The 12392-nt window shown below is 40.5% G+C and overlaps 1 long non-coding RNA gene across 1 annotated transcript in view; it reads right to left on the reverse strand.

Moving 5' to 3' along the window:
* Nucleotides 1-5238: 5238 nt before the first annotated feature.
* Nucleotides 5239-12392, reverse strand: part of LOC105378236 (uncharacterized) — a 34936-nt gene continuing 27782 nt past the window's right edge. The window contains exons 3-4 of the long non-coding RNA XR_944432.3: nucleotides 10234-10418; nucleotides 5239-5302 (exon numbers count right to left, since the gene is read on the reverse strand). This is a non-coding gene — a long non-coding RNA (uncharacterized LOC105378236). The remainder of the gene's footprint in view (nucleotides 5303-10233; nucleotides 10419-12392) is intronic.

The raw sequence follows: 12392 nt of genomic DNA on the forward strand, positions 1-12392 counted from the left end.
AAACTGGTTGTCTGAGAGAAAGGCCACCCCCAGGCCAGGGAAATATAATTCAGTTTTAAGTGAAGCCATCTCGTAAATTATCTATCTGAGGACTTGTGATCAATTAACATTAGCAACATGTTCTTATTCTGACAAAAGGTAACAAACACAGGGAGGACTGGACTCAGAGGATGACCTGAGACACTGAGGCCTTTTGGAATGGGAAGTCAGGGTTGTTGACTTTACCCAGATAGGTAACACAGAATGTGTGCATGTCCTGTGTAGTGTCTGCTCAGATATTTCATTTCTTCCCTTTTTCCTTTTTTCTAAACTTTAATTACCTTAAGTCTCTGGTTTGTCTTTTGTTTGGAAATGCTAAGGATATGAAGTCCTTATTTGTATGATTTTAGCTGTGTGATTTGAGAACAAATGCTTAATCTTTTAAGTCTTGGTTTCTCCATTTGTAAGATGATTAGTTTGGAGCAGATTATTTCTAAAGATTCTTTCAACCTAGAATTCTGATTCCCAAGGATGCTGGATTATTTGACAACTACTTGCAACATGTTGGCATTTAGCAATTAGCTGGCAGCTAAAATGGAGTAAAGTAGAAATATTTTAGCTGATATCTCAAAAATGTCCACTATCTGTTAAAACAGAGTGAACCATGCTAGACTTTTGTTTAGTGGTGTGTGTGTGTGTGTGTGTGTGTGTGTGTATAAAGGTAGACACCAGTGAAAAGTTAGGGGGTAATTATGTAACAATTTAGGGGCAGGAGTGACGAATAGTTGGCATAATGCCATTATCCCAGTGGGCGTTTCTGATGCCCAAGGGCAGACATTGCTAATCGATCATGTCACTCATTTTTATGATCATATCACTCCTTTCACGCAGGGCTCCAGGCAGCCACTAAAAAAGCCATGATGAAATCTATTTGTCTCTCCTAGTCTGAAGCATAAAACCGATAACCCTAGTCTTATCAGCAACATTCTCTAACCCTTGGGATATTTGGAGGGTGTTCTCATTTGAATATTCACTCATTCAACACATATTTTTAAGTCCCTACACACACACACACAGTCCTAGCCAACCATAGTTGTAGGTAATGGTGATAAGTAGAGGATGAAACAAACAAAACTCTCATGGAATTTTCATCCTAGTGGGGCAGAGGAAGAAGGAGAATAAAATGACATACAAAGTACAGACATACTTTACCTTATTGTGCTTTATGTTATTGCTCTTTGTAGATATTGCATTTGTATGTTTTTTTTTAATTTTACTTTAAGTTCTGGGATACATGTGCAGAATATGAAGGTTTGTTACATAGGTATACATTTGCCATGGTGGTTTGCTGGACCTATCAACCCATCATCTATGTTTTAAGCCCTGTATGCATTAGGAATTTGTCCTAATGCTCTCCCTCCTCTTGCCCCCCACCCCCACCACCCCAACAGGCCCCAGTGTGTGATGTTCCCCTCCCTGTGTCCCTGTGTTCTCATTGTTCAACTCCCACTTATGAGTGAGAACATGCAGTGTTTGGTTTCCTGTTCCTATGTTAGTTTGCTGAGGATGATGGTTTCTAGCTTCATCCATGTCCCTGCAAAGGCATGAACTCATTCTCTTTTATGGCTGCATAGTGTGTATATGTGTGTGTGTGTGTGTGTGTGTGTGTGTGTGTTTTAAGAAGTTGAAGGTTTGGGCAACCCTGCATGGAACAAGTCTAGTGGCACCATTTTTCTAACAGCATGTGCTCACTTGAATCTCTGTTATATTTTGGTAATTCTTGCAATATTTCTAAGTTTTTCATTATCATTACATCTGTTATAGTAATCTGTGACATTGGATCTTTGATGTTACTATTATAATTGGGAGCACCATGAACTGTGCCCATGAATGACAATGAACTTAATCACTAAATGTCATGCGTGCTCAGACTGCTCCATCAGCATGCCGTTCCCTCATCTCTGTCCCTCTCCTCAGGCCCCCCTATTCTCTGAGACACAACAATATTGAAATTAGGCTGATTTATAGCCCTACAGTGGCCTCTAAGTGTTCAAGTAAAAGGAAAATTTGCACATCTCTCACTTTTTATCAAAAGCTAGATATGATTAAGTTTAGTGAGGAAGACATGTCCAAAGCCAAGACAGGCTGAAAGCTAGGCCACTTTTGCCAAACAGCCAAGTTGTGAATGCAAAGGAAAAGCTCTTGAAGGCAGTTAAAAATGTTATTCTAGTGAGCATGCAAATGATAAGAGAGTGAAACAACCTTATTGAAAACATGAAGAAAGTGTGAGTGGTCTGGGTAGAAGATCAAGCCAGTCACAGCATTCCCTTAAGCCAAAGTCAAATTCAGAGCAAGGCCCTAACTCTTTTCAATTCTTGAAGTGTGAAAGAGATGAGGAAGCTATAGAAGAAAAGTTGGAAGCTGGCAGAGGTTGGTTTATGAGGTGTGAAGAAGCAATCTTCATAACATAAAAGTGCAAAGGGAAGCAGCAAGTGCTGATGCAGAAGCTGCAGCAACTTGTCCAGAAGATCGAGGTAACATCATGAAGGTGGCTACATAAAATAATAGATTTTCAATAGAGACAAAACAGCCTTCTATTGGAAGAAGATGCCATCTAGGATTTTCATAGTTAGAGAGGAGAAGTCAATGCCTGGCTTCAAAGTTTCAAAGGACAGACTGACTCTCTTGTTAGGGGCTAATGCAGCTGGTGACTTGAAGTTGAAGCCAATGCTCATTCACCATTCTGAAAATCCTAGGACCTTTAAGAATTATGCTGAATCTGCTCTGCCTGTGCTCTAGAAATGTAATAGCAAAGCACGGATGACAGCATATGTTTATAGCATGGTTTACTGAGTAGTTTAAGTCCACTGTTGAGATCTACCGCTCAGAAAAAAAAGATGCCTTTCAAAATATTACTGCTCATTGACAATACACCTGGTTATTCAAGAGCTCCACTGGAGATGTACAAGGAGATTAATGTTATTTTCATGGCTGCTAAGACAACATACATTCTGCAACCCGTAGGTCAAAGTGTAGTTTTGACTTTCATGTTTTATTATATAAGAATTGGATTCATAAGGATATAGCTGCCATGGGTAGTGATTCCTCTGAGGGATCTGGGAAAAGTAAATTGAAACCCTTCTGGAAAGGATTCACTATTCTAGACTCCATTAAGAAGATTCATGATTCATGAAAAAAGGTCAAAATATCCACATTAACAGCAGTTTGGAAGAAGTTGATTCCAGCCCTCATGGATGACCTTGAGGGGTTCAAGGCTTCTGTGGAGGAAGTCACTGAAGATGAGGTGGAAATAGCAAGAGAACTAAAATTGTAAGTGGAGCCTGAAGATGTGACTGAATTGCTGCTATCTCATGATAAAACTTCAATGGATGAGGAGTTGCTTTTTATGGATGAGCAAAGACAGTGGTTTGTTGAGATGAAATCTATGCCTGGTGAACATGCTATGAACATTGTTTAAATGACAACAAATGATTTAGGATATTACATTAACTTAGTTGATAAAACAGTGGCAGAGTTTGAGAAGAGTGACTCCAATTTTAAAAGAAGTTCTACTGTGGATAAAATGCTATCAAACAGTGTCAGGTGCTGTAGAGAAATCTTTCATGAAAGGAAGAGTCTGTCAATGAGGGAAACTTTATTGTTGTCTTATTTTTAAAAATTGCTGTGTCACCCTACCTTTCAATAACCACCACCCTGATCAGTCAGCAGCTGTCAACGTTGAAGCAAGGCCCTCACCAGCAAAAAGATTAGAACTCACTGAAGGCTTAGATAATTGTTAGTATGTTTAGCCATAAGGTATCTTTAAATTAAGATATGTACATTGATTTTTAAGCATAATTCTATTGCACACTTAATAGACTATGGTTTAATGTAAACATAACTTCTGTATCCCCTGGAAACAAATCACGTGACTGACTTTATTTTGCTATTTGCTTCATTATGGTGGTTTGGAACCAAGCCCACAATATATGTGGGGTATGCCTGTATGTTTGGTATTGGTAAGTGCTGGAAAGAAATCAGCAGAAAAAGGATAAATGGAGTGAGTGTACATGGGGTTAGAATTGAATTGCAGTTTTATATAAGAATTTCACAAAAGGCTTTGTTGAGGTGAAATTTGTGGAAAGACCTAAAGGGGGAGAGATCGGGTGAGGATGGGAGGTTATCCAAGGCCGTGTAATTTTGAGGTTGCAGAGAGGAGCAAAAATTGTCTTTACAAGAAAATATTCATTAGTGAATTGGCCACTTTAAAATTATCCCCACTCAAGAATTCTTACCCTCTTGTTTTCCCATCTATCATATCAATATTTTTGTTGGTCTATGATAATTAATAGATATTATAAACATCAAATGATACAAACAAAAATAAATTTTACAAATAAATCAAATGATACAAACAAAAATAAATCAAATAAATCAAATTCTGTAGTTTTGAAGTAAAATTACCAATTATAGTAAAGATGATGATTTCATGAAGTTGTTGAAAGCTGTGTTAAAAACATACTTGAATTATAAGCAAATAAGGATCTGTCTGAATATTCAGTTAACAATTGAAGAAGAGAGAAGCACTGAGGATTAAACACAATAAGCTCTTTCAAGGTAAATGTTTACCCGAAGGATTATGAGAGGACTTTAGAGAAATTTTTATTACTCTTAAATATTTTTTAAAAGATGACCCTGTTATTGACCATCTGTGAAAGTCAAATATGAAAAAAAAGAAAAATCTTGCTTTTTTTTTTTTTAGGAAAATGTATGCCAAAAATACTGACCATACTTCAATTATTGCTTGTTGCTTTGTAGAATTAGCATAGACTTAAAATACCCTAAAATAATACAGAAATAACTTATTTTAAAAGATTTTGGTTTTATTTTTAAGTTGGAGTCCCAGTTGAACATCTTCTGTTTAGTGTGCAATTTTAGGATTTGTCTTAAGTGGATTCGCTGTAAACTGGTCCATTTCCATGACCAGTGAAATTCCCCTGAAGAGGCACAGTAAGTTAGGACAGGTGGAGGGACTCACCCAGGGTCACATGGCCAGAAGGTGGCAGGACCTGGGCAATGCTGTTTCCGTGCCTCCCAATGACCAAAGTTGTATTGAAAGGATTCTCTGGTGGATTCATAATATGAACTCATGTGGGAAATCAGGGATTCTAGGCAGTTAATCGGCAAACCAGCTATTGATTTGTTTTTTGAAAGATTTTTTTTTCTATTAATAAAACTTTGTTGTGTGGACATGATTCTGATTTAGAAGACATTCCTCATGGCTTATGGCAGTCTTCAAGGAGGCAGTGTTCTCTTACAAGGCCTGAGGAAGAGAATGAAATGTGATTATTAATATTTATCTGCAGAAGATTGTAGCAATACCCTGAACACCTTTTACTCTTAGTGTATAGGTACAAGACCTCTAGTTCTGACTAGGAAACAGGGTAGATGTTGCATTCAATAATGGACAAGAAATTTTAGGAGCCAAACTTTCTCTTTTACTCCTGGGGACTCTCAGAGGAAAAATAGATGCTTTCTTCAGTTTCTGGCCTATTTATAATATTTGGAGATGCCTTGCATTTCCTTATTTGACCCACAACTTGAAATCCCTATTGGTTTGAAGGAGCACTTGGGGGCTTTTGAATTTACATTTTGCTTAAATCCACATAGGGTGATACTTTACCTGCCATTTACTTCTAGATATAGATGGACAGGTAGACAGATAGATGAATAGATGAGATTGAGATTCCACAAATACCTAAACACTTACAGAACTGACTTTAGAGATCATCTGGTTTCCCATTTCATTTTATATTGAAGTTGTACAGAGAAGGGATAACAATACAGTTGGGTCACACAACAAGGCAGTGACTGATCTCACACCAAAATTCACATCTTCTGAATTATGGTTGGATGTTCTAATTCACCCCCAAATAAATGTCATTCCTATATGCATTTATGCATGAGTAGTCATCATATCCTGTGTTCATGATGTGTGCTAGCATTATATTTTTCTTAACTCCATCCCAGGACCCAAAGAAGAACATATATTCTGCAGTTGTCTCCATAAAACTGATCACATGGGGTTATGGTTAAGAGTATGTCATATGGAGCTGTACTGAAATATATGTCCTGCTGCTTCCTAACTAGCTATGTGAAATTGGATAAGTTTTTGAAGTTCTCTATACCTCCATTTCCTCATTTGCTAAATAAAGGTAATAATACTCATTTTTTTAGGCTTGTTTTGAGGATTGAGATAATGGATGTAAAGTATTTAAAAATGCCTATAATTGAGCATGGATAGAGCTCAATAAATGTTAGCCATCGTTGCAGTTATCTTCAGCTACAGCAGAGGAACAACTGCAGAATCTTCGTCATCAGCATCATTAGCATCTTTATCATCATTTATTATTGTTATTGGTAAGCTGAAATCAAACCACTGAATGGTCCTTTGAGCACATCCAGTCTAACCTTGGTCTCATGACTTAATCCTATGTTTAACATCCCTGCCGTGTGGCCAGCCTGTCTTAGATTGAATACCTCTGGTGCCCAGGAACTGATTTCTTTCCAGAGTAGTGCATGTAATTTCAGAGACGATTCTAAATACAATTAAACTGGGGTTTAAAAGTCTCTAATACTCAAAATAAATGGCCTGCCCCAGCATCATTACTCATATCTGAAATGATTTATATACCAATTATGTAAGGAATTTGTTTTTCCTGTTTCACATAAAGATTATGGATCAATTAAGTTCTTATGTTTTCCTTGTCTAAGAAGGAAGTTCCTATGCCCAAACTTGGGATCTGGCTGACCAGGGAAGGAGGCAAGAGGCCCCAGCAGTTTTTATTTCCAACCTGGCCTTTGTCACCAGCTATGATCTGGGCTGAGAAGCCCCCACTGCTTTGCCAGGATACTTCTCTCTGAGCCTGTCACTCCTCTTACTTTCTGGATATATTGCATTTGAATTAGGTATTAGACACCTAAGGGGATAGAGGATTCTGTAGCTCAGTGTACCAGTCAGGGGTAAAAATTCAAATTTGAGAGAATTAGCCTAGAATTGGTATTTGAAGCCATAGGATGTGAGAAAGAGAGTTTGTAGTGTACTGTAGCAAAAATCTTCTAAAAAAAAAAAAACTAGCTGGCAGCAGCCACTGGATTAGCAAACATGCCATTCAGATTTTCTTACTTCGTCTTCCTCTGCTTGATAAAACATACATGGAGGGCAGTGAGGATGCAAGATGTTAGTTGAAATCAATGACAGAGACACTATCTTCCTTCAGCTCAATGAGCTTGCAATCATTAGATGAGGGAGAGATGCACAGGTCATTAATTATAAAAGAGGGCAGGTGAAAATGGCTATGAAGTGTAGGTATTGGCATGTCCTGGAGCAGAGAACAGGGAGGGGTAGTTAGTTTGTTGGTTATATCAAGGAAGACTTCACAGGGAAGATGCTATCTGTAGGGGAACCTGAATGACAAAAGACATTTTAGGGGCTAAAGAAAGGGTAGAAGGCATTCCAGGCAAAGGGAGACTAGATGGAGAATAGATTCAGAGAGGCGAAGAGCACACAGTAGGTTCACATAGTAGGATTTCAAAACAGATTTGTGAACAGTATCCCACTGACCCTGTATCTAGGGCTGGCCATTTCTCCTTTGCCTGAAGGCCGCCTTGAAATAGATGTGTCCCTGTATTCTGAGATGTAGATCTTGCAGAGCCCAGGGAGAGTACCTGGAGCCTTTCACCTTGTGCTGAGATTCGAAGGGCAGGGAAGAAACAGACTTCTCCCATGAGACCAATAATGATGACACTCAAGATTGTGGATTGCGAGCTTGTTTCAAAGGTACCATTGGGTATCCACACATCCTCACAGTAAATCACCGTGCACCAGGCCTCACAGCACATTACTGGCTGGCCTGCTGCGTTCTCTCTCGGGGAGCAAGGACAACAGATCTAGAAAGTGAAGTGCAGATCTGTGGAAAATATCAAAGCCCGATTGGCATCCTGTGGTGCCCATGCTCCTCACTCCCCAGATTGGGAAACTGAGACTCTTGAGAGGATAGTTGCACACCCAGCTCATGTAACGTAGTGGCAGTGTAGGCGCTAGAACATGATTTCTCTGATTTATTTTCAAGCATGTTTTTTTTTCTACTCTGCCTCACACTTGTTCTCTTTTCTTTGAAGTTCAAAGTATTTTGCAGCCTCAACTTGTGCTTAACTCTACTGCCAAGAGACAGCTGCTATTATCTGCCATTGTGATACCCCTGTCCCCAGCACTTTCCCTCTTCTCGCATTGCTCTCAGGAGAAGCCCTAGGCAAGTTGAATGTTAGATAGAAGCTCAATCTGTTCATCTCCCTGAGGAATCATGGCATCTTTATGACTGTTCAAGAAAAAATTATGCAGTTATGCTTATTAAGCAAGTATGGTAAGGAATACTTTATTTAGGACCACCATGATAGGGGTACTGCAGCTGGGGAGTGGGATTGGGCTCAACTCTGAATACAACATGGGCAAGTGGGATTGTATAGACAAAGAGTAATGTAGAGGTTGGTGGATGGAAAATTACTAAGATGACACATCAGAGGTAAATGGGATTCTGGCTAAACCAACCTAACAAGATTCTTGATGAAGGCAGGCCAGGGTGATGAGGCATTCTCTGGGGGATGGAAGAGGATGAGGAACTCAGTCAGATATCAAGGGTGAGCAGATATCAAGAATGTGGGGGCTCTCAGAAGAGACTGTAACTATCCTTGGAAATTGATTTCTTTTGTTCTGTCTCACCAAAAGCCAGTGGATCCTTTTCATCTTTCCAAGCTACTGTCTGAATTTCTCCTCAAATGATTTGGGGGCAGACAGTAACTCTGGCTCTTTTGTTCTCTCTCTTGGTCTCCTTGAAGCCTTCTAGTTTTACAGTTGTGGTAGAAATAGAAAAGGAAAGTGCTTTCAAATCTCAGGGAACCTGGGGTGTCGGGCAGTGTAGGATAAATGAAAGGGGTATGAGGTGAGGACATTTGAGATATGTTTCAGGGGCAGGGGACTTGCGTATAAACTAGAAAGTCAAGTATGTGGGAATGTATGAAAAGTACAGAGTCCAGGCTGGTGAGATGCAAGCATTCTTGATCCGGGCCCTAGGCACCTGAGCTAAAGGAAAGGGTGGTGTCAAAGCAGAAATTCACAGCACTAGGGGACATTCCCTGGCGGGTGGTAGGAGTGGGCACTTCTACTCCCGTGGATGGAGAAGACTGGACATGTAGGAGGGCTCTGCTAAAGGGTGAGAGCTGGGCCTGAGGTTTGGGTCTTGAGACAGCAACAACCCAAGAAGCAGAACAAAGACATGAGATCAAAGGAAGAATAAGTAGCCTTAGAGCCTTTATTACCTGCATTGGCTAATCCTGGGTTCTCAGGTGGCCCTGCCTAGGGGCAGGCAGGTTTCAGGAACCTGAGTAAGGCTTGGCCTAGTGGTGAGGGCTGATTGAATGGCCCCAGCTGTGAAGAGATGAGGCTGGGCTATCGGTGTTGTACCAGAACATCAAAGCCCTAAGTTTGAATCTAGTGAAACTAGGCTATTATCTCCTTACCTAAAACCCTTCAGTACCCCCACAACCCTATCACTAACCATGGGTTCAAATCAAGGTCCTTCTCAAGGCATTCAGGATACTTCAAGAACAAATTCTATAATCTTCTTGACTTTTCATTCTTGTTGTTTTTTTTTTTATTCTTAACCTATTTCTCTAGGCCATGCCTTTTCTTATCCTGTCTTTCCAATTCTTCCATCTCAATTACTCCTCGTTAGCCTTCAAATCTCAGGTGTCACCTCCTCCAGAAGGCCTTTTCTCATTATGAGTTCCCCTCAGGCTAAGCATTTTTTTTTCTGTTCCTCTTCCCCTTCCTTTAATTTCCTGGCATATTTATTTTATTGTACTAACCATACTAATTATAATTGCCTATTTATGTGCCTCTACTAGTCTTCCCCACTAATATATGTTCTTTGAGGCCAGGGGCAGTGTTTAGTATATTTCCCATGCCTAAAGCAGGCTCAGCACATACTAGTTACTCAATAAATATCTGCTGTATGAATGAATGGATAAATGCATAAATGGCTTTGATGCAATATAACCTACATAGCTCCCCTCTGACTCAGTTTACATAGCTAAGAATAAGACTCCCCATCCTGCTGCCTTACAGGACTGCTGAGAGGATCAAATTAGGTAATATAAGTATAAACTTCTGAGAAGTTAAATGTAAAGGATTCTTACCATCTCATGCCTGCCTTGGACTGCCTGAGTGACTGTACTATCTTCCGCTTCCTTGTAGTCTTCAGAGGAAGTTTTCCTCCCAAAGAAACTAATTCAAGTTTGCTCCCGATAAATGATGGTAAAGATCACCACTGATACTCTTCTTCCTACTACTCACTGTCCTGTTTTCATGGAAACGGGTTGCCCTAGAAGGGAAGAGAGAGTCAAAACGTGACAAGCATATTCTCCCTACTAATACCTCTGCATGCTGCAGTGGGCCATAAAACCCCTGGTGTAGCAGGAAGGGGCAGGGTGGGGGGTGGAGAAGAAGGAGTAATGATTTGAGATCCCAGAAATTCAGGTCAAAGATAGGCAGTGGGATGAATGCTATTTCCCATTGACATGTTAGATTTGTGTTCTTACCTAAAGAATACATGGTTGATTGGAAGTACCCTGCACTTCATATAGGGGGAAGTGGGCTTGTCCAGATGACACTTTAGCTGTGCAATGCCAGGCAAGTCCTCTTTGCTCCCTGAGTCACACACATCTTCATTTGTGAAAGAAGATAATTATTATAACCAAAGTTTAGTGAGGACTGTGCTCCCAACTGGCCTCAGCTATGTGCTTTGTACAGATTCTCTCCTTTAATTCCATCCCATTCTCTCTCATCATTTAAGCTTCACAGAGAAGCCTGAAGCTCAGAATGCCTGAGGGCCTGGCTGGGGTCACAGAGCCGGAGAGGGGTGTGCCTGACTCCAAAGCCTTCACTCTCACTACAGTCCCTGGTCTGAGCACATGTCCTCATGGGAATTAAACGGATGTTTGGGGGAATTTTGGAGGCATTATTATGAAAATATAATTTATCCCAAATGACATATTTTTACATTCAGGGGAAGATAATGATGCTTTTAAAAAATCTGCAAGGGAGAGAAGGAACTTGATAAGATACTTTTGTTTAATCTGGGTTTCCTCTTGCTCAGAATAGTTATTTTCACTCTATGGAAACAGAGCCAGGAACACTAAACATGAGGCCCTATTTTTGCCCAAATACATGATAGGCACAAAAAATGAGTAAAAGAAGTATTCTTTTAAGGATCTGAGACTCTCAAAGGTGCCACAGCGTTTGACCTTGGACATGACACTTAGTATAGTGATTAGATGCACAGACTTGGAAACCAAATAGGCAGGAACTAGACCAGTAGGGGTTTAGAAGGCTACTACTATTTAGTTGTCTTCATAAGGAGAAAAGGTACCAGGGCATGATGGTGCTGTTTCATTTCTTTTTTCTTTTTTTTTTTTTTTTGTTCTTTGAGACAGAGTCTTGCTCTGTCACCCAGGCTGGAGCACAGTGGCAGGATCTCGGCTTACTGCAACCTCCGCCCCAGGTTCAAGCGATTCTCCTGCCTTAGCCTCCCGAGTAGCTGGGATTACAGGTGTCTGTCACCACACCCGGCTAATTTTTGTATTTTTAGTGGAGGCGGGGTTTCACCATGTTGGCCAGACTGGTCTCAAGCTCCTGACCTCAAGTGATCCACCTGCCTTGGCCTCCCAAAGTGCTGGGATTACAGGTGTGAGCCACCGCACCCGGCCATGCTGTTTCATTTCTAACCATGAGAAATGATGATTTTAGTATGTGTTTTATGTGCTTGAAGTTTGTTTGGTGGTGTTAACCAGCCAGGCATCAGGTGCTTTAACTATAGTCAGATGACCATGGCCTGAGAGGGTGTGGAAAATGCTGGAGACACTTTCAGTCTGCACACCTAGGCTCAAATGTCAGTTCTGTCCAGTCTCCAGGGGCTTGAGTGACTCACTAAACTTCCTGAAGCCACAGTTCTTTTTTCTCATCTATAAAAAATATATTACTATAACAAAATCAGCACTGCCCTCGTACGTGAAGGTCACTGATTTCCCAGCCATGATTTCAGGACTTGATTACAAGTGACTGCAGTGATCTCCACCACCTGACCTTGGTCTAGTGTATGTTCAGTATCCCCCCAGAGCTGTGCCTGTCACCTCCTGGGGAGGCCTTTCCAGCCCTACACCAGATCAAGCCTCCATGTTAAACACCCATAGAACTATGAAATAAGCCTCCGTAGCACATTTCTCTGTCATCACAAGACACTTTAAAGTTATTTCATTGTGCCTCTTTCTACAAGACCATAAGCTTCACAAAGGCAGAG

This window comes from Homo sapiens, chromosome 5 (genome assembly GCF_000001405.40).
Source record: "Homo sapiens chromosome 5, GRCh38.p14 Primary Assembly".
Classification (NCBI taxonomy): domain Eukaryota; kingdom Metazoa; phylum Chordata; class Mammalia; order Primates; family Hominidae; genus Homo; species Homo sapiens.